Below are 22,733 nucleotides of genomic sequence, written 5' to 3'. Positions count from 1 at the left end.
TTCCCCCCATTGAAATAGATGGTCTCAGCCCAGTTATCTCACAGTAAGATACACTAGTTGATAAGCCTTATCCCTCCCCAACTCCTCAGTGTTTAAGCAACTCTTCAGGGACTCATTGTTACGTATGAACGTAAAACAAAGGATCACCATAGATTTGAGGACAGAATCTAATATGGAAGACAGAGATCAAAACAAACAAAACAAAAAGGAATGGAGGGTCCAGAGACAATGCACATGGACAAAGAAAAATGCCTTGAAACTATTAATATTCTCAGAGACACAGGAAATGATATTACTCACATGAAACAGGAAGGGCATATTAGAAACAAAGAAAACCCAACCATGAGGAAAGAGCTTTGGAAAGTTAAAATTATGATAGCAGGAAACAAGTTGATAGAAAAGTTGGAAGACAAGCTTAAGGACAATTTTCAGAAAGCAAACAAAATTATAAAGAAAGAACAATAAGAGAAGAGAGGTAAAAAAATTCGAAGATAAATTCGGAGGGTCTAACATTACAAAAAAAAAAGGAGTTTCAGAAAGAGAAAATAGAGAAAATGAAAGAGAGAAAATTAACAAAGAAAGGATATAAAACTTCCCTGACTGGTCATGGTGGCTCATGCCTGTAATCCCAGCACTTTGGAAGACCGAGGTGGGCAGATCACTTGAGGCCAGGAGTTTGAGACCAGCCTGGCCAACATGGCAAAACCCCATCTCTATAAAAAATACAAAAATTAGCTGGGCATGGTGGCAAAGGCCTGTAATCCCAGCTACTTGGGAGGCAGAGGTGGGAGGATCACCTAGGCCTGGGATGGTCGAGGCTGCAATGAGCTGTGATCATGCCACTGCACTCCAGCCTGGGTGACAGAGTGAGACCTCATCTCTTTTTTTTTTTTTTTTTTTTTTGAGATGAAGCCTCACTCTGTCACCCAGGCTGGAGTGCAATGGCGCAATCTCGGCTCACTGCAACCCCCACCTCCTGGGTTCAAACGATTCTCCTGCCTCAGCCTCCCGAGTAGCTAGGACTACAGGTGTGCACCACTCAACCCTGCTAATTTTTGTATTTTTAGTAGAGATGAGGTTTCACCATGTTGGCCAAGCTGGTCTTGAACTCTTGGCCTCAAGTGATCCACCCACCTTAGCCTCTCAAAGTGCTGGGATTACAGGCATGAGCCACCATGCCCAGCAAGACCCCATCTCAAAAAATAAAAATAAAATAAAAAAAATTTTGAGACCATCCTGGGCAACATAATGATATCTCATCTCTATAAAAGAAATTTTAAAATTAACCAGGTTTGGTGGTGCCTTCCTGTAGTCCCAGCTATTTGGGAGGCTGAGGTGGGAGGATGGCTTGAGTCTGAGAGACCAAAGCTTCAGTAAGCTACGGTTGCACCACTGTACTCCAGGCTGGGTAATAGAATGAGACCCTGCCTCAAACAAACAAACAAACAAACAAAAAACTGTAAGAGGAAGTGATTTCCAAACCTAGATTATATTCCCTACTAAGCTATTAACCAAGTGTGATGGTAGAATAAAGACATTTTCAGATATGCAATTTTTCACAAAATTTGATCTCTTGTGTATACTTTCTCAGGTGTTCTACCAAAATGAGGGAATAACCCAAGAAAGAGAAAGACAAGGGTTCCAAAAATAGGACATCCACCCAAGAGAGGTGTAAGCAAGTCCCAGGGTGACAGCTGAGCAGCAGCAGGCCTGAAGAGAACCAGGTGGAATAAGATAACACAGGGTTCCAGAAGGAACATCTCGGGAAAAGAGGGAATCAGATATAGGACCTTATAGAAAATAGCTCTCAGAGCTTGCGGATTTATATATATAAACAATTTTCTCTGGATATAAGACCAATATACAAAAATCAAGTATATTTCTACAATGGGCAATCCAATGACAAAATGAAGAAAACAATTCTGTTTTCTTCAGAAATTCTAAGTACTTAGGAATAAATTTAATAAATGAAGTGCAAGACTTGTACAATGAAAACTACAAAACATTGTTGAAAGAAATTAAAGAAGATCTAAGCAAACGGAGAGGCATCCCATGTTCATGGATCAGAGGACTTAATATTTTAAACTGGATGTACCCCTCAAATTGATCTACATATTCAATGCAATCTCTATCAAAATCTCAGCTGGGTTTTTTGCAGAAATTGATGAGGTGATTTTAAAATTCATATGGAAATGCAAGGGAACTAGAATAGCTTAAACAATCTTTAAAAAGAATAACAAAGATGGAAGACTCATACTTCCTGATTCCAAACCTTCCTACAAAGCTACAGTAATCAAAATAGTGTGGTAGTGGCATGAGGATAGACTACAGATAAATGGAATAGAATTAAGAGCTCAAAAATAAACCCTCATATTATGGTCAATTGATTTTTGACAACGGTGCCAAAACAATTCAATCAGAGAGAATAGTGTTGTCGGCCAGGCATGGTGGCTCATGCCTGTAATCCCAGAAATTTGGGAGGCATAGATGGGTGGATCACTTGAGGCCAGGAGTTTGAGACCAGCCTGGCCAATGTGGCAAAATGCTGTCTTTACTAAAAATACAAAAATTAGCTGGGCGTGGTGGCGTTCGCCTGTACTCCCAGCCACTCAGGAGGCTGAGGCACAAGAATCGCTTGAACCCAGGAGGCAGAGGTTGCAGTGAGTGGAGACTGCGCCACTGCACTCCAGTCTGGGCAACAGAGTGAGACTCTGTCTCAAAAAACAAAACAAAACAAAACAAACAAACAAAAAACTACGTGCAAAAGAATGGAGTTGGGGAATGACTTCTCGGGTGATGACAATATTCTTAAATAGATTCTGGTGATGGGCTGTACAACTAAATATACTAAAAACCATTGAATTTTACACTATAGGGTAATTTTATAGTATATCATTATATGTCAATAAAGTTGTTTAAAAATTAAAAATAATTTTCTTAACAAATTTGGGAAGAAATAATGACAGTTAAAAAGAAATCTAAGCAACAAAAACAAAAAAACAAGGTATATGGATTTGAAAATGCATAAATTTTTCACATTTTAACATTTCTGATATGGAGATGCATCCTACAAACAATGGAGTGTCACAGTTTAGTTGGGAGTGTTCTTTCTTAGTGGTACATAAAAAATGGCACATCTTACTGTCTTAAATTAGAAGAATTATGGTGATATGTTCAGAAGGAACAAGATGTGCAAGAGGCCAGGTGCAGTAGCTCACGTCTGTAATCCCAGCACTTTGGGAGGCCATGGCAGGAAAATTGCTTGAGCTCAGAAGTTTGAAATCAGCCTTAGCAACACAGGAAGACCTTATCTCTATTAAAAAAAAAAAAAAAAAAGTAAAAATTAGTCAGGTGTGGTGGTGTGCGCCTGTAGTCCCAGCTACTCAGGAGGCTGAGGTGGGAGGATCTCTTGAGCCTGGGAGGTTGAGGCTGCAGTGAGCCATGATTGTGCCACTGCACTCCAGCCTGGGTGACAAAGTGAGACCCTGTCGAAAGAAAAAGGAAAGAGAAACAAAGAAAGAAAGAAAGAAAGAAGGAAAGAAAGAAAGAAAGAAAGAAAGGAAGGAAGGAAGAGAAAGAAGGAAGGAAGGAAGGAAGGGAGAGAGAAAAATGCGCAAGATAGGAAATGTAATGATAATATGCTCCATGGCTCACCAATGCACAAGTCTTATAGCCATAATCAGACAGAAACACATTAATGGAATACAGCTTTTTCTGAAAGTTGTATATTACCATGTTGGGAGGAGAAAGGGAGGACAAATGGAATATGGGGTGGTATGAAAGAGTTAATGCTTCATCTTCTGTAATGGGGAGTAAAAAGGCACTATCTAAAATCACTAATTTGAGAAAATAGCAGTATGGATGCATTACTTAGAAATATGGATGTAAGTAACAGAAATGACTGAAAGAGTTTGAAGGGGAGAAGTCAGGGATGGGGAGGGAATTACCGAAATGTTTTCCTGTTATTGTTGCTGATATAACTATGGTACCATTTGACTTTAAAAATCAAGTATCTGTTGTACTTTGATTTGAATGGAAGGGAAAAAGGAAATGTGGAGAGGGAAGGAGGAAGTTGGGGGTTCGCTGTGGATCCTATCCCTTGATCAGGAAGGCTGGGGTCAATGCCCCTACCTCAGGTCCAATGGGAGGGAAAATTGAGCCGCACCTAGGGGGCTGCATTACACAGAGAGTGACTCCTCCTGTCCACAACCCTGATAGGAGTGCAGTGGGATGGTAGAGCCTGCCAGGAGAATATGTTTTCAGATTCTATCCTCCTTCAGAGGCACCGACCTCCCCCACAAAAGGGAGAGGCTCCCAGCAGCAGCCAAAACGAAGCCCTCCTGGGGCTCTGTGCTCTGCAGCCTCGCAGCCAGGGATCCCAGCTGGGGTGGGGTCAGCCACAGTCCCGCTGAACCAAAGAAACCCAGTCTTCCACTGCTCCGTGAGGAACTGCTGTGGAGGCAGCCACCAATGCATCCACCCCACCTGGTGGAAGAAGGGAGACTGCAGCGCGAGTGTTCCAAGAGCTTCTGTATTGGGAAAAATCATGACTTTGCTACTTTACTGATGCAAAGCGTTCCTCAGTTTCATCTTCTTGTATTCCAGATGCTTCACGGTCAGACATCTTTGATTGCTGTTCTGAGGCTCTTCCAGTTATCTGTTGCTATGGAATAAACATCCCAAACCCGTTGCATAAAACCACTACCATCCATTATGCTCTCGGATTCACTGTCTCAGGAATTTAGATGGGCACCAAAGGGGATGGCTTGTCTCAGTTCCATGATGTCTGAGGCCTCAGTGGGGAAGATTCGAATGGCTGTGGGCTGGAACCACCCAGAGGCTTTTTCGCTCGTGTCTGGCACTTGGGCTATGATGACTTGCAGGCTGGGCTCAGCTGGGACAGTTGACCTGGTGCCTACATGTTACTCCTCCAGATGACTTGGGTTCCTCACAGCGTGGCAGCCACAGAGCAGGGAGAACTCTTTCTTTGTGGTGGGTCAGAGTGCTAAGAGTGAGTGTCCCAGCGAACAAGACCAAAACTGCCTGGGCTTTCATGACCCAGCCTCAGAAGTCACATGGCATCATTCCTACCATGCCGTCTTTCTCAAAGCAGTCACAAGCCTGCCCAGATTAACAGGGAGAGGACATAGATCTGACTGCTTCATGGGAGGAGTGTTAGAAAATTTGCAGCCATGTCATAAAAATACCACAATGACTCAGTATTATTAATTAAAATAAAAATAATGTAAAGTATTTTACACATATCATATACCTGTTTACTAGGCAGATCAATGAGGAAGCCAACGTGCTACAATGGTTAAGTATCTGGCATTAAAACCAAACAGAACTGGGTTCAAAACCTGGCTCAGCCGCTGAACTGTGTGCCCTTGAGCAAACCACTTCACTTCTCCACGTCTCAGTTGCCTTGTTGGTAAAATGGGGATAATAATATCTACCTCACATAGTTTGTTTGTTTTTAAGGATTACACGGACAGCATATGCAAATAACTTGTCTCACAATAAGCATTCAGAAAACGTTAGTCCCTTTTTCCCTAAATTATTTCAAGCGCTACATTTCCATTATTTCTATTATCTCAGATTTTTGAAGATATGCTATCATTTGAAATCTTTATAGATAAATGGAAAGAATGGTTGCTTTCATCAGGAAACAACACCCCCGATCTCGTGGGAAACTGCTCCTCCTTCCCTTTCTGTTCAAATAGGAGCTGCCAGCTTCTACCTCCCTGGTCACAGTGATTGCTTCAGGGGTGGGCAGAAGAGCCAGGCCACACTGATCACCCTATCCCATTTTCTAGGCCTCAACAATGGGTCTGGAGGAGGGCACACGTCCCTGACAGATCAATCACATTCTTGGAGGTTTGCTTTCTTTGCCACAACTAGCTATCAGGAAAACAAGCTAATATATGAACCCATGATTTTCTGATGGCCATGGTCCAGTCTTATGGAGAAATCCAATTCAGTAGAAGGAGGTCACAGTGCAGGAAGACACAAACACAACAAAAGCAGGAACTCAGCGGTAGGCAGAGCCCTAGAGTCATGAAGTCCCCAGGCCCAGCTGCCTGCAGCTACACCCTCATCCCTCCTGGTGCCCATACATTCCTCTTCTCCTAAGCTATTTGATTTGTTGTCTGTCATTTGCAACCAAAAGAATCCTAAGTAATATACCCCTCTGATTTATACATTTTTTACAAATGAGGTAAATCATTCATAAACTCCAGTACTTTCACTATTATATTTTTCTACTTTTCTTATTTATTTTTGAAACTGCATCTTGCTCTGTCACCCAGGCTGGAGTGCAGTGGTGTGATCACAGCTCACTGTAGCCTCACATTCCTGAGCTCAAGCAATCCTCCTGTCTCAGACTCCTAGGACTGCAGGTGCTTGTCACCATGCTGGGCTAATTTTTAAATTTTTAGTGGAGACAAGGTCTCGCTATCTTGCCCAGGCCGGTCTTGAACTCATGGGCTCAAAGCAATCTTCCAGCCTCAGTCTCCCAAAGTGCTGGGATTACAGGTGTGAGCCACCTGGCTCAGGCTTTCCACTGTTATAAAGGAATCAATTAATTACAGTGACACACCTCTAAGTGATAAAACCCACCAGCTGTTGAGAGCTCTTGACATGAACTTCCTGAGACTCCTAACAGTTTAAGTCATTGAAGATGATTCACCGAGTTACGGAACTTTTCAGAAGGAGGCCCTGTCTTTTCCATACCAGCCATTAGACTTTCTCACCTCTGGGTTCTGGGCCTACCTGGAGGACCCTGGTCCCAGACTGCAGCATCGGGCCACACTCTGGCTCAGAGCAGCTGACACTGAAATAATGACATGCCCCAGATCCAAAAAGGATTAGAGATTAGAAATATCTGCCCTCTGGGCACTGCCCAAGAAAAGATCCCTTGAAAGCTGTATGCTTTGATGGAGCTTATTTGTCTTCTAATTGATGCGATGGCATTGAAAAGAATAGTTTGGTAATATAAACAATGGACTCCTCTAAAAGTAGAAAAGAATCTTATTGAGGAAGGAAGTTTCAAGGGATAAAAGCAATCTTTTGTTTATAAAGTGAATTTTCTATCTTTAAATAACTTTTCTTTATACTTTATTATTAAAAATTTTTTTTATTTTTTGAGACGGGGTCTCACTCTGTTCTCCAGGCTGGAGTGCAGTGGCACGATCACAGCTCACTGCAGCCTCGACCTCCCAGGAGTGGCTGGGACTACAGACGTGCACCACGACACCTGGCTAATTTTTTTGTATTTTTTTGTAGAGACTTGGTTTCACCATGTTGCCCAGGCTGGTCTCAAACTCCCGGGCTCAAGCGATTCTCCTGCCTCGGCCTCCCAAAGTGCTGGGATTACAGGCGTAAGCCACCGTGCCCGGCGACTTTTCTGTTTTCTTGGAAAAAGAAAAACAGAAGTTTTGCTGGGATAAAAATGTGTCCTTTGTCAGTTGGGGCTGAGTGGAGGAAGTAACCTGCGTGGTGGCATCTCCAGCCTGGTCAGGCTCACTCATGGTCCGTCACTGAAGCACATGGAGTCATTGGATGCAAGGAATTTACTGACGTGTAGGAGAGTGTGTAGCAGCATTTCGTGTGTCCATCTGGTTGGCAGTCTTGATCTGTGGGTTACTGCCTTCTTACTTGTAGATGAGAAATGAGTCCCACCTTGGAAAGATAGGAAAGATGTCTGTATAGAGAGCAGATAGCCACACAGCCTGTGTGAGGATGAGAAAACTGCTCCAAGCAGTCCTTGTGGGATCATCTCTTCCTTGTTCTTTTTTGCTCTCAACATAATTTGCAGTGTTTGGCAGGTGGGAGGGGAGCAGGATGGGGACCTGAGAAGCCTGTCCTTCTTCTAGCTCCTGTTCTAGTTCCTTGCTGTTCTTCAAGGGGAGGGAACACGGATCTTAGTGGGTAGACTGGGCCACACTTACCAGTGGATCAGGTCACTGTGTGTTGAAAGGTTATACACAGCACATGGACCTCTGCCGACTCCTGCTTCTGTAAGCCTGAGGCTGGAAACTGCTGTGAGCCTCCCTTGCCTCGCCTTGCCTTCTGTCTCTGGTGTTTTCCCATCATGAAGCTAAATTGGAAAACTTTGCAGTTTGGCCATCTGGCTCTCTTTCCACTTCCCCTCGGATATGTATCAGGAGTCTCTCTTTTTTCTCTGAAGTCTTGGTGGCCAGTGGGAGGTATGTTTCAGATTTAGACTTTGTCAGAAGGAGCGGGCCCATTTAGGACTCCAGGTGAATGTACCAGCCCCATGTTACCAGAGAACCAGGAGTGCCAGGCAGGGATGATGGGCACTTTGTTAATAATAGCTTGTTCCCATTTGTTCATCAGGATCCCCGCAGGAAAGAGGCAAATCTGCTCCTTCTTGCCACCTATCTTATTCTTCCTGTCTACTAGCAGGCTCATATAAGAGATCCCAAATAATAACATAAAGGAGATAGAAACTTATTCCCCTCTCACATAAAGTTTGTGCTGTCGTGGCAGTCTTGCTCTGCAAAGACATCAGGACCCCAGACTCCTTCTTTTTTTTTTTTTTAATTATTTTTTTTTAAGACAGGGTCTCGCTCTGTCACCTGAGCTGGAGTGCAGTGGGTCATGGCTCACTGTAGCCTCCACCTCCCAGGCTCAAGCCTGTCTCAGCCTCCCAAGCAGCTGGGACTACAGGTGCCCACCACCATTCCCAGCTAATTTTTCTCGAAGGGGTTTCACCATTTTGCCCAGGCTGGTCTCAAACTCCAGGGCTCAAGAGATCTGCCCACCTTGGCCTTCCAAAGTGCTGGGACTACAGAGGCGAGCCACGGCCTCAGGCTCCCTTCAACTTGAAGCTGCTCCATCTCTCGGGTGTTGCCTTTGTCTTCATGGTCCAAGCTTGCTCACCTTCCCATCTGCATTCCAACTAGCATGGAGCAAAAATGTGAAATATACCAAGAACGTGTGGGATGCCCCCATTTATCTAAGGCAGGGGTCAGCAACCACAGCCTGCAGGTTGGCCTCCTGTTTTTGTAAACAGGCTTTATCGGAACACAGCCACTCTGTTTGTCTATGGCTGCTTTCAACTACAAGTGCAGAGTTGAGTAGTCGTAACACGGCAATATGGCCCACGAAAGCTGAAATATTTACTATCTGACCCTTAAGAAAAAGTCAACAGAACCCTCTTCCAAGGGCATGATGGGAGGCTGCCTACTGGACTTCTGCTCACACCCCACTGGCCAGACCATGGCCACCCCTAACCCAGGAAGGTTGAGAAATGTAGTCCTTTTTCTTTTTCTTTTAAGACAGAGTCACTCTTGTCACCCAGGCTGGAGTGCAGTGGTGCTATCAGCTTACTGCAGTCTCAATCTCCCAGGCTCAAGTGATCCTCCCACCTCAACCTCGTGAGTATCTAGGACTGCTTGCACACACCGTCATGCCCAGCTAATTTTTTATTTTTTATGGAGACAGGGTCTCACTATGTTGCACAGGCTGATCTTGAACTCTTCCCACCTCAGCCTCCCAAAGTGTTGGGATTACAGGCCTGAGCTACCGCGCCTAGCTGAGAAATGTAGTTTTTATTGTAAGTGGCCACATGCCCAGCTGGATTGTCAGTTTTTACTAAAAAAAAAAAAAAAAAAAAAAAGGAGACTGGCGACTGGAGGACAGCCAGCTGTCTTTCTACACGGGTCAAGTGTTCTTCAGCCTGATGTTGGTGCCTGATATTTTAAAATTTTGAGTTTATGAATGAGATCCTTGCTATTCACTCATAGCCACGTTGATTTCTTTTGTTGCCTCTGCCTTTCCTTCCTCATTAGGATATTTTGCCCAGCAGAGACAGGGTTCAATCCAAGCGCTGCCTTTCCTTGCAGAGTCTCTTTCCTAAATGGCTTTATTCTCAAGTGTGGGACAATCGCCTGGCTGTGCTGCCTCCCCATCCCTGCCAGTGACAAAGTCTCTGTTGGCAAATTGTCCCCATTCCACCATTCCATATCTTTGTCAGAACTTCATCCAAAGCTGCAGTTTCTCTCACTCAGGAAATGGAAAGCAACCTCCAGGCAAGGTAGGAACTTGTTGCACTCCTTGGTGGTGGGCAATTAGGATACCCCTGTAGATAAGTCCTTCCCACCCCATTCCTGCTGTGTCCTAGAGATAGTGCCTTTATGATCCAGGCCAGGACTTTCTCTCATTCTCTCCTAAATGACAACTGCTCTTCAAATTATACCCTCAACATGCAAGCCCTCGGATTTGAGGATTTCTGAAGCAGGCATGTAGCTTCTTAACACCCTTCCTAAGGCTGGGCACAGTGGCTCAAACCTGTAATCCAAGCACTTTGGGAGGCAGAGATGGGTGAATCACTTGAGGCCAGGAGTTCACGACCAGCCTGGGCAACATAGAGAGAGTCCCCGCCATCTCTAAAAAAAAAAAAAAAAAAAAAAATTAGCCGGGCATGGTGGCACACACCTGTAGTCTCAGCTACTTGGGAGGCTGAGGTGGGAGGCTGAGGTGGGAGGACCCCTTGAGCACAGGAGGTCCAGGCTGCAGCAAGCCAGGATTTTTGCACTACTGCACAGCAGCCCAGGCAACAGAGGCCCCATCTCAAACAAAACAAACAACAAAGCAAAACACCCTTCCTAATAAGTCTGCCTCTTTCAAATATCCTCCTAAGACCATATCCAATCTTTAGTCTCATCACAGCATCTTGGTTCCACCCATGAGATCATATTTACCATGCTGTGTTCTGGCTTCATCTTCGACTTGCTCTTGACTCATGCACTGTCTGCACACAAATTCAGAACAGCTTCGAATCAGGTCTGGAGCAAATTTTGAAACCCTGCTATGTGTTATGTGAGGAACAGCTGAAAGAACTAAGGGTGCCTGGCTCAGAGAAGGGAAGCCTGGATGGGCATCATCTTCAAATACTTGATGGATTGTCATGTGGAAAAGGGATTAAACCATTTCTATAAGTTTTAAGATTTGACTTTTTAAAACTAATGGGCAAGTATTACTTTGGTAAGTAGGAAAAAGGACAACAAAGATATACATATGAGATGAGACCCATTCAGAGTGGCCCAGAATGGCAAAACTGGGATGGATCAAAGCAAAACACTTTTTGATGCAAAATCAAAAAAGAACCTTCTCAGAAGTGGAGCTCTCCAATGTGGAGTAGCAATGAGAGGCGTGAGGTTATTATCTTGATGAGGTTTAAGCAAATGATGAATGACTGCTTGATTTCAAGCAGAATCGGGGGTTAACAAAGTGACTATCCTAGGCAATGTCCTTCTCATTACAAAGAGGAACCTTCTCAATTAGTTTAGGTTAGAGGGGATTTCTGGAAAGAATTTGGCTGTCATGGAATCCAAGGAAAAGCAGAACAACTGGGCTGCAGTAAGGGAGGGAATGAGGTCAGCTCCAAGCCATAGCCCCACCGTGGTGACTCAGCTCCCAGCTCTGTTTCTGGGTTTTATAATTCATATTCCTTCCCAAGAATCCAAAAGGCCATTGGCAAGAGTACAGATTTGGCCTGCCCTGAGTCAGGCATTCAATCCTGGTTCAATAGCAAATCACTCATGGGAATGGAGTCTCATGACTCAAACATAAAAACATGTTGACAGAGGCCATCCATACAGTGGGTATAAACATTCTCAGAAAAGCTGGATGGGGAGGTAGACACCCTCAAAATGATGTTTAAGGTCCTGTCCAACCTCAGGGCTCACTAATCCCAAGTCAAAAGTAATTTCAAGCAGATGATATTCTTCATGTGGTTGCAAAGAGGTCAGGACTAATTAACATTCAGCTGAAGGCATGAGCTTGAATTAAATTGAGGGGGCAGCAGAGGTGAGGGCAGGGCCATGGGAAGAAAGGGGCAGAAGGGGGGTCAATGTAGCCCATTAGTCAACTCACAGACCTTGGCATGTTGCCTATTGGGACATGCATTGTCTAGGACAGAGTTACCCATGGGCTGAATTACAAGTTATACAGCATCTGTGTCCACGCAGTTTTTTTTTCCCCATGCCATTTAAAAAATAAACTATTAAATTTTAGAATAGTTTAGACTTACAAAATGTTGCACCAATACTACCGAGCTCCCATATATCCCACACCCATTTTCCCCTCTTGTTAATAGCTTACACTACTATTTGCTATGGTCTGAATGTTCATGTCTCCTCAAAGTTCATATGCTGAAATCCTAGCCCCCAAGGTGAAGGTATTAGGAGGGGGGGTCTTTGGGAGGTGATAAGGTCATGAGAGTAAAGCCCACATGAATGGGATTAGTGTCCTTATGCAAGAGGCCCCAGGGATCTCATTAGCCTCTTCTGCCATGTGAGGACACAGGGAGAAGGTGCCACCTATGAGAAACTGGCTCTCACCAGGCACAGCATCTTCTAGCACCTTGATTTTGGACTTCCCAGCCTCAAGAGCTGTGAGAAATACATTTCTGTTGTTTATAAGCTATCCCATTTATGGTATTTTGTTATCAGCCAAAACTGACTAAGACAGAAGGGTACAGTGTGAGCCCTATATTCAAGTGGCCTGCAGTCTTCTAGGGAAGGCCACTGGCCACAGAATGAGCGTGCAGGGAGTCCAGAGAAGGGGGTCAAGGGCAGTCCTTGGGCTGTTCCATGACCCAGCTAGTGGAGCTGAGGCCAACATATGGGCAGGGAAGGGGCGGAGGGCCAATCCTGGGAGAGGACTGTGTTGTCCATATCAACAGGGCACCCTGCCCACAGCCCAAGGGCAGCTGGAGCAGGTAGCAAGGACTGAGGGAGGGCTGCAGAGAGAAGGCAAGAGCCTAGCTGGAGCTACAGGAGTCAGGCCAAGCCTCCACTCTGTGGAGCTAAGGGAAGGACACAGGCCCTGAGGATGGGGACCCAGGTCAGCCTGTGGGGCTCACAAGGAGCAAGGCTGCTGCCCACTGGAACCAAAGTCTGTGGCAGAACAGAAACAGGACCTGGCTCACTGGGGCTGAGCTGAATAACTGCTGGCCAGGGCTCCACCCTCCCACTGCCCTAGGTCAGGGTCAGCCCCAGCTAGGAAAGAAGTTGGACCTGGCAGGTAGGGGTGAGGGTGTAGGGCCCCAGCAGCCACAAGGGCAGGGTGCATCGCAGGTCCTGGAAGCCAAAGCTGCTGGGGAAAATGAGAACTGAGATGGGAGCAGGGCAGGCGGCAGGGAGATGGAGAGGGCATGCTGGTGATAGGAACTCCAGAAATGAAGGCAGGGGAGGGACATCGGGCCTCACCTAGTGGCACAGAGGGCTTGGGGTGGGGAGGAAAGGCAGCGAGGGAGGTGAGGGCGGGCCACCCATCAGGGTTCCCTGAACACCAGCAGCCCAACAGAGAGGCCCCACATCGCAGTTTGTGTTATGACCTGAAAATACAGAAGATGCATGAGGAGGGGCTCCCCTCAGATGGGCTCGGGGCACCCCTATACCACCCAGAACTAGGTGGCCTGGCTCAAATCCTGCCTCTGCCTCTTCCCAGCTCTGTCCCTTTAGGCACATAACTTAACCTGTCCGCGACTCCGATTCCTCAACTAGTGACAATAATAACACCTACTGCATGAAGTTGTTGTAAGGATTGAGTTAAAATATATAAAGCGCTGAGAACAGTGCCTGGCACACAGTGCCACATAAGCATTTGCTAACATTACAGTTGCCTAGAGTAAAGCAGTTTGAACATTAGCCAATATTTCCCAAGTTGTATTCCACAAAATCTTCAACTGAGACACTTCCATCAAAAAGGTTCTTATGGGCCAGATACAGTGACTTATGCTTATAATCCCAACACATTGGGAAGCCAAGGTGGGCAGACTACTTGAGTCCAGGAGTCTGAGACTAGCCTGGGCAACATAGCAAGACCTCATCTCTACCAAAAAAAAAAAAAAAAAAAAAATATATATATATATATATATATATATATGAACATACACACACATATATATATATGTATGTATATATATGTGTGTATTTATATATAAATTAGCTGGACATGGTGGTACATGCCTATGATCCTAGCTACTTAGGAGGCTGAGGTGGGAGGATCACTTGAGCCTGAGAGGTTGACGCTGCAGTGAGCCATGATCACCTCACTGTACTCTAGCCTGGGTGACAGAGTGAAAAGGTTTTTATGGTCAAGTAAATGTGGAAAAAACCACCAAGCTCTGACAAGTTCACAGTTAAAAAAACAAAAAAATAAACAAACAAAAGTCTAAACAGCCCTCTCTAAGTTTATTTAACCCAGTGGTTCCAAACCTAGTCCATCATGGAACCCTCTGAACGCCTCCCAGGACAGTGTGCCATGGGACCTCAGTTTGGGAAGCACTCTGAGGAAAGGCGGGAAGGGTTTCTCTGAAAGCAGAGAAAGAGGTGACACCACCCAGCAGGGGAAGCCACAGAGAGATCCTAGTGCCTAGGAAGTGGGGAGGGGAGGAGGCTTTGGTGTGCAGCCCACAACAGAAGGGAAGGGGCATGTGAGGGACCCCAGGAGAGGGGGGATAGAGAGGACCAGGGTGCTGTTTGGATGTGGAGGGGAAACGGGAGGAGGCAGAAGTGACCCTGAGAATTCACACTGGGGGAGTTAGGAAATGGGGGAGCAGGAAGGGGGATGGAGTGGGACATGTCCTTCCTTATGTCCTCACTCACTCTCTGCACACTCACTCCATGAACCCTTCCCAATTGTGGGATTGAGCTGGGTCTAAGTCCTGTGGCTTCCCTGAAGAGGGCTCTGGGAAAGGGAAGGTGGGGACAGATGGTTCCCGGGGGAGAACAGCCCTCAGAAGCGCAGAAGCACAAGCATGTTCTGTCCTCACTGTGCACAGATCGTGTGGTTGTAAAACCGACAGCAGTTGTCCAGGGCCTCTGGGCTGAACTCTGGATTGACGCTAAAAAGAAAGCAAAGATCGCAGTGGGAGCTCCAGGCCTGGTTCTGCGGGCCACCACCAGGCTGTGCAACACCGGGAACACTGTTTCAAGTCTCTGGTCCACCCTTCCTCCATTGGTCCTCGAGCCTTCACCTCCCCATTAGCTGCAGCCGTAACATTTCTACCCTCACCCTGGTACCAAAGGCATCCCCCCCAGCGCTCAGGCATTCTGTCTATCACTGTGGGTGCCCTGCAGGTCCCACAGCCCAGGCCCTCACCTCTGGAAGGCCTCACGGCAGCACTGGTAAATCTCAAAGCTACTGCTGCTGAGGGTCGTGTTCAAGAGGGACATGCAGTCAACTTCAGCCCCCCTGGGCATGTAGAGGATCCCTGTAGAGGGAAAGTGGTGGGTGGGGCAGGGCCCCCGGGCTAGCCAGAAAGTCAGGGTTCCACCTTCTGAGCCTGCCAGGCCTGCACTCACCTGCCATACAGGCGTTCACCAGGGACACACAGGCTCCCGTGAAGAGCGCCCGGAGCACTATCTGGGAGAAGTCGCTCTTCCGTTGGGGGACCATGGAGGCTGCAAGGGGACAGAAGTGCTCAGGGCCTGGGAAGCTGTGTCCCTCTCTGCCCGCGTTCCGCAGCTCGGGCTGCATCTGCTGACCTCCCTTCCTCTTCTATTAATAGATGGCCAGAGGGACAGATGTTGTCCTCCTGACAGCTTGCTGAGCTCAGGAGTTCTCTTTGGCCTGGCTTGGACCCCTAGGCAATGCCCCACATCTCCCTACACACCATGAGTGGCAGATGCAGGAAAAGAATGTGAGTTTGGAGTCAGGCAGACCTGGGATTAAATACAAGCTCAGCCACTCACTAGCTGAGTGACTTGGGCCACCACTTCACTTCATGAAGACTCAGTTTCCTTCTTTGTAAAATGGGGTGATTATACCACCAGGCAGTGTAGCTGCCAGGACTGGAAATGTTATTTGTAAAGAACTGAGAACTGTGCAGACCCTTCGACCTTAGGCCCCACCAGGCCTGCCTGCCTGTCCACTGTGGGTGTGGGAACAGGCAGGCCAAAGCCTTGGGGACAGGCAAGCACCACACCTCCCACCCCTGAGCCAGGCTTGGCCTTCAAGGCCCAGGTGCTAACTTCCTGGGCCACCAGCAGCAGCAGAGAATCGGAATTCTAGGGCTAGGAGGAAACTCTATGAACATCTTTTTCTTTTTTCTTTTTTTTTTTTTGAGACAGAGTCTCGCTCTGTAGCCCAGGCTGGAGTGCAGTGGTGCGATCTCAGCTCATCCTCGTGCCTGGGTTCAGCTTCCTGAGTAGCTGGGATCACAGGCGTGCACCACCACGCCTGGCTAATTTTTGTATTTTTAGTAGAGATAGAGTTTTGCCATGTTGGCCAGGTTGGCCTCAAACTCCTGGCCTCAAATGATCCACCCACCTGGGCCTCCCAAAGTGCTGGGATTACAGGCATGAGCCACCACACCTGGCCTCTATGGCCATCTTGTTTGGGTCCTGCTTTAGACAAATGAGACAACTGAGGCCTACATGTCCCGAGCAAGTTCAAGTCCCAGACTCTCCTAGACACTGGTGAGGCCCTGATTAGACTCACTCAAGCCTCCCAGCATGATCCCAATGGAGCTGAAATTGGCAAATCCACAGAGGGCAAACGTCGTGAGGACTTCAGCTCTGACCTGAAAATACAGAAGATGCATGAGGAGGGGCTCCCCTCAGATGGGCCTGGGGCACCCCTATAACACCCAGGCTCCCTGGCCTTAATTTTACCCACTTCTTACATGTAATTGACCTTTGAGTCCTCTGTGCTGCCGCTTCCCCAGCCTTGCAATCCCACCTCTAAGTTGGCTCAAACTGCACCACATCAAAAACATAGCCCCCCTCTCTTATCTGTCCTTCAACTTTTTTTGTTTCTTTTTTTGTTTTTGTTTTTGTTTGAGACGGAGTTTTACTCTTGTCACCCAGGCTGGAGTGCAGTGGCACAATCTCAGCCCACTGCAACCTGTGCCTCCTGGGTTCAAGCCATTCTCCTGCCTCAGCCTCCCGAGTAGCTGGGATTATAGGTGCCCGCCACCACGCCCGGCTAACTTTTTGTATTTTTAGCGGAGATGGGGTTTCGCCATGTTGGGCAGGCTGGTCTCAAACTCCTGACCTTAGATGATCTGCCCACCTCAGCCTCCCAAAGTGCTGGGATTACAGGTGTGAGCCACCACACCCAGCCTGTCCTTCAACCTTTTAATCTTCATTACCAGCCTTTCTGGATGGGGTTCAGCCTTTGTTAGTCCTGTCGCTTTGGCCCTACTAAGCTCTGTCCTGGGGCCATTTGGTGGACAGCCCCTTCCCTGACCCCGCAGTCCTGGGCTTCCAGTTCACAGCACTCCTGTGAATGCTCTCAGGCTGAGAGAGGGAGTATGGCCCACAGGAAAGAGTAAGGGATTTGGAGCCCAGCCAGCCTGGCTTCTAGGATTGTCTCACCAATGATCAGCTTGAGAAGTCAGTCACTTCTTTCAGTGTCAGTTTTCCTGTCTGGAATAGGGGAATAATAGTAGTTGCCTGGGAGGGCTGTAAAAAGGATTATATAATGTATGGGAAACACCAGGCAGACAGTAAGTGTTCAAACACAATAGTTATTTGCTTTTGTTCTTAACAACTGTCCTATTTCCCAGAAAGAAGTTTTAAGAGCCAAAATGAAATAATTTGAAAACAAAATTGGTTTATGGGTACAAAAAAATAGTTAGAATAAATGAATAAGAGCTAATATTTTATAGCACAACAGGGTGACTATAGTCAGTAATGACTTAATTGTACATTTAAAAATAACTAAGAGTATAATTGGATTGTTTGTAACACAAAGGATAAATGCTCGAGGGGATGGATACCCCATTCTCCATGATGTGCTTATTTCACATTGCATGCCAGTATCAAAGCATCTCATGTACCTCATAAATATTTACACCTACTATATACCCACAAAAATTAAAAATTATTTAAAAAATTGGTATAGAGCCTCCCCTCACACTATATAAAAATTAATTCTAGATAAATATTAATATTTTAAGTATAGAATGATAGAAAATATAGGATAATAAATATAGTTACAAGGTACTATTATTACTCTTATTTTGGAGAGGAGTAAACCGAGGCTCAGAGAGGTTAAGTAACTAAGGAAGTTCACACAGCAAGAAGGTAGCTGTATCAGAATTTGAACTCAGTTCTGACTCCAAAGCTCATGGTCTGAATTATCTCATCACGTTATTTCACGAATTTAACACTTTCCAGATAACTTTCTTTTTCTTTCTTTCCTTTTTTTGAAAACTTCTGCCTCCTGGGTTCAAGCGATTCTCATGCTTCAGCCTCCCAAGTAGCTGGGATTACAGGTGTGTGTTACCACACCTGGCTAAGTTTTCTATTTCCTGTTTGCCATGTTGGCCAGGCTGGTCTCAAACTCCGGGCATCAAGTGACCCACCCTCCTTGGCCTCCCAAAGTGTTGGAATTACAGGCATGAGCCACCGTGCCCAGCCGCACTTTCCAGATAACGTTATAAGTTTAGAAATAACAGAAGAAATCACAAAAGAAAATATTTGGTATAAAATCTATGTTAAAAAAAAAACAAATCCCGGCCGGGTGCAGTGGGTCACGCCTGTAATCCCAGCACTTTGGGAAGCCAAGGTGGGCAGATCACAAGTTCAGGAGACCGAGACCATCCTGGCTAACATGGTGAAACCCCATTTCTACTAAAAATACAAAAAATTAGCCGGGCACAGTGGCGGGTGCCTGTAGTCCCAGCTACTTGGGAGGCTGAGGCAGGAGAATGGCGTGAACCCAGGAGGCAGAGCTTGCAGTGAGCCGAGATCACACCACTGCACTCCAGCCTAGGCAACAGAGCGAGACTCCGTCTCAAAAAAAAAAAACAAATCCCAAATGCTGGGTCAAGTGAGAGCTGACAGGCACTGGGTGACTCTGTGCCTCACTGAGGAAAAATAACTAAACATGGGCAGAAGAGACCCTAAGAAGCCAAGAGGCAAAATGTGATTATATGCACTCCCTGTCCAAGCTTGTTGGGAGGGACACGAGAAGAAGCACCCAGATGCTTCAGGCAACTCCTCAGAGCTTTCAAAGAAGTGCCAGAGAGGCAGATGACCATGTCAACTAAACAGAAAAGAAAATTTGAAGATGTGGCAAAGGCGGACAAGGCTGGCTAGGAAAGAGAAATGAAAACTTACATCCTTCCTAAAGGGAAAACAAAAAAGAAGTTCCAGCATCCCAATGCGCCCAAGAGGCCTCCTTTGGCCTCTTCTTGTTCTATTCCAAGCATCACCCAAAAATCAAAGGAGAACATCCCAGCCTATCCGTTGTTGATGTTGCAAAGAAAGTAGGAGAGATGTGGTTATAAAACCGCTGTGGAGAATAAGCAGCCTTAGAAAAAGACACCTGCAAAGCTGGAAGAAAAATACAAAAGGGATATTGCTGCATACCGAGCTAAAGGAAAGCCTGATGTAGCAAAAATAAGGGAGCTGTCAAGGCTGAAAAAGAAAGAAAAAGAAAGAATAGGAGAAACATGAGAAAGAGGAAGAGGATGAGGGGGAAGGAAAGATGGGGAAGATGAAGATGATGAATAAGCTAGTTCTAGTAGCTTTTTTTTTGTATATAATGTATTTAACCCCCCCACACTAAATTCATTCCTTTTAAAGAAATAAATTAAAATGTAAGGCCATGTAAGATTTGTTTTTAAACTGTACAGTGTCCTTTTTTTTGCATAGTTACATACTACCCAATGTGTCTTTAGATAACTCTGTCCTGGTGGTATTTTCAATAGCCACCAACCTTGCCTGGTGCAGTATGGGGGTTATAAATTGGCATGGAAATTTAAAGCAGGCTCTTGTTGGCACACAGCACACATTAGTTATGTATGTGGATGGTAGTGCCTTCATCTTTAGTTGTCTCTGATGCAGCTTACACAAAATAGTTGCTGTTTTGTTAACTAAACACCACTGGAGCCGGGCGTGGTGGCTCATGCCTGTAATCCCAGCAATTTAGGAGGCCAGGGCAGAAGGATTGCTTGAGGTCAGGAGTTTGAGACCAACTTGGGCAATACGGCGAGACCCCGTCTCTACAAAAAATGCGAAGGTTAGTTAGCCAGGTGTGGTGGCACACGTCTGTAATCCCAGCTACACAGGGGCTGAGGCAGGAGGATCACTTGAGCCTAGGAGGCAGAGGCTACAGTGAGCTGTGATTGCACCACTGCACTCCAGCCTGGGTGACAAAGTGAGACCCAGTCTCCAAAAATAAATAAATAAATACATACATATATACCACTCAAAAGTTACAGCTGTTTTGTTGACATTCTGAATGCTTCTAAGTAAATACAATTTTTTTAATTAAAAAAAAAACACATTCCTGTGCTTGCTTCTTGTGCACATATATTAAAACTTCAATGATACAAAGAAGATTAGCATGGCCCCTACCTGAGGATGACGCACAAATTCATGAAGCGTTCTACATTTAAAAACCAAAAAATAAATTTCCTTATACAACATAAAGGGCAATAACAGAAAAGGCTAGGAAAAGTATATGTAGAAAATATATCAGAAAAAAGTTAATGCCTTTATAACATAAAGCATTGATACAAATATTATTGGAAAAAATATGAAGGTACCTGCATCTCTGCTTGCCCACCTACAGTTGTGTTCCACAGAGCAGCCCCAGGCTCCCTCCCTTCCTTCGGTCTCGCTGTCTTTTTCCCTCCCTCCCTCTGTCCCTTCCTTCTTTCCTTTCTTGCTTCCTTCTCTCTGTCTTTTGTTTTCAGACAGGGTCTCACTCTGTCACCTAGGCTAGAGTGCAGTGGCAAAATCATAGCTCACTGCAGCCCCAGTCTCCTGGGTCCAAGCGATCCTCCTGCCTCAGTGTCCCAAGTAGCTGAGACCACAGGCGTGCACCACTACACCTGGCTAATTTTTAAATTTTTTGTAAAGCCAGGGTCTTGCTTTGTTTCCAGGGCTGGTCTTGAACTCCTGGTCTTAAGTGAGCCTCCTGCCTTAGCCTCCCAAAGTGCTGGGGTTACAGGTATGAGCCACCACACCCAGCCTCCAGTCATCTTCTTAAAATTCAAAATGTCAAATCTTCAGTGATTTCCAACTGTTCCTTGGCCTGTGATTACCACCTGCTCTAGCTGTATCCATTGCCTCTGCTCTCTAAGCACACCAAGTGCTTTTCAACCTCAGGGCCTTTGCACATGCCTCTTCCTTTGGAATGTTTTTCCCAGCTTGTCCTAGCTCATCCGTTCTCCAAGTCTTGGCTTAAATGCCACACCTCAGGGATATTTTTTCTGACCAGTCCAGCCAAGGAAGACCCTGCCCTGTTTTTTTTTTTCTTGTTGTTTTCTTCATAGAACTTACCACGAATTGTGGTTATTTTAATTTTTGTTCCTTTGCTTTCTTGTGTTTTGCCTGTGTCTCTCACTACATGTCGGTTCCATGAGACCAGAGCCATGTCTGTGTAATTCTCCTTTTTATCCCCAGTGCCTAGCAGAATGCCTGGCACCTAAATGGTCTCAACAAATACTTGCTGAAGGAATGAAGTTCATTAAAAAAAGATCATGAAGTGCTTGCTTCGGCAGCATACATACTAAAATCAGAACGATACGGAGAAGATTAGCACGGCCCCTGTGCAAGGATGATGTGCAAATTCATGAAGCATTCTATATTTTTACACTGTGTGCCTGCATCTAAACACCTCATGTACCCCATAAATCTATACACCTACTATGTACTCACAGAAATTCAAAATAAATAAGAAAAAAAAAGAACAGGAAGGGGCGTGCCCTCTATTAATCTCTGAGGAGGGGGTGAGACCAGAGGTGACAGTAAGCAGTGAGGGGAAACTTGTGCTTTTTACTCTATAGAAACCTTTTTTTTTTTTTTTTGAGATGGAGTTTCACTCTTGTTGCCCAGGCTGGAGTACAATGGTGTAATCTTGGCTCACTGCAACCTCCCCCTCCTGGGTTCAAGAGAGTCTCTTGCCCCAGCCTCCTGAGTAGCTGGGATTACATGCGCCTGCCACCACACCTGGCTAATTTTTGTAGTTTTAGTAGAGACGGGGTTTCTCCATGTTGGTCAGGTTGGTCTCAAACTCCTGACCTCAGGTGATCCTCCAGTCTCTGCCTCCAAAAGTGCTGGGATTACAGGTGTGAGCCACCATGCCTGGTTTTTTGTTTTGTTTTGTTTTTTGAGACAGAGTCTCACTCTGTTGCCCAAGCTGGAGTGCAGTGGCACAATCTTGTCTCACTGTAACCTCCTCCTCCCAGGTTCAAGAAATTCTCGTGCCTCAGCACAAGGACTGGGACTACAGACACATTCCAACACAACCACTGATTTTTGTATTTTTAGTAGAGAAGGGGTTTCGCTATGTTGGTCAGGCTGGTCTCAAACTCCTGACCTCAAGTGATCCACCCACCTCAGCCTCCCAAAGTGCTGGGATTACAGGTGTGAGCCACCGTGCCTGGCCACAAACTTTCTTTTTTAAAAAACCTAGAGTCCCTTCCTTTACAATTTAAAACATAATTAAAAAGACAAGAGAAAGGGCTTCCCATTGAAAGTTTCCAGTCACCCAAGTAATGCAAATGAAAACAATGAGCTATTATTTGCTTATTGAAGTAGTGAACCTTGTTTTTAAAAAGAAGCTACCCGATGCTGTTTAGTTGTGTGGCGAAATAAATGCTCGCAGGCACAGCTGGTGCTGCTGATTTCAGCTGCTGCAGCCACGTGAAGACTCATGTGGGAGTCAGTCAGCCCACACCTGGGAACGCTGCAGAAATGATCTGAGAGGAAGGAAGAGCTATATGCACAAAGATACTC

At 45.8% G+C, this 22,733-nt stretch overlaps 1 protein-coding gene and 3 pseudogenes across 19 annotated transcripts in view; 3 read left to right on the top strand and 1 right to left on the bottom strand.

The window, feature by feature from the left end:
• Positions 1–22,733, bottom strand: part of SLC28A1 (solute carrier family 28 member 1) — a 90,988-nt gene that overhangs the window by 15,647 nt on the left and 52,608 nt on the right. For 9 of the 19 annotated variants that reach the window (XM_011522204.4, XM_011522203.3, XM_011522215.3 and 6 more), the window contains 5 exons: positions 16,477–16,558; positions 15,339–15,437; positions 15,136–15,247; positions 10,728–10,777; positions 7,361–7,680 (listed from right to left, as the gene is read on the bottom strand). The exons of 1 other annotated variant lie outside the window; for it this stretch is intronic. In XM_011522204.4, the coding sequence (XP_011520506.1) occupies positions 7,526–7,680; positions 10,728–10,777; positions 15,136–15,247; positions 15,339–15,437; positions 16,477–16,558 (498 nt within the window). In that variant the 3' untranslated portion in view covers positions 7,361–7,525. Of the gene's footprint in view, positions 1–7,360; positions 7,681–8,786; positions 8,924–10,727; positions 10,778–14,204; positions 14,879–15,135; positions 15,248–15,338; positions 15,438–16,476; positions 16,559–22,400; positions 22,697–22,733 lie in introns of those variants that run through there. 9 more of the 19 variants (NM_004213.5, XM_011522217.2, NM_001287762.2 and 6 more) reach the window with 6 other exon arrangements.
• On the top strand, positions 18,871–19,496 carry HMGB1P43 (high mobility group box 1 pseudogene 43; annotated as a pseudogene).
• On the top strand, positions 20,280–20,386 carry RNU6-796P (RNA, U6 small nuclear 796, pseudogene; annotated as a pseudogene).
• RNU6-339P (RNA, U6 small nuclear 339, pseudogene) lies at positions 21,481–21,587 on the top strand (annotated as a pseudogene).

This window comes from Homo sapiens, chromosome 15 (assembly GCF_000001405.40).
Source record: "Homo sapiens chromosome 15, GRCh38.p14 Primary Assembly".
In the NCBI taxonomy this organism is placed as follows: Eukaryota; Metazoa; Chordata; class Mammalia; order Primates; family Hominidae; genus Homo; species Homo sapiens.
The sequence above is the reverse complement of the archived record's forward strand: the minus strand, read 5'-3'. Positions and strand labels throughout refer to the sequence as shown.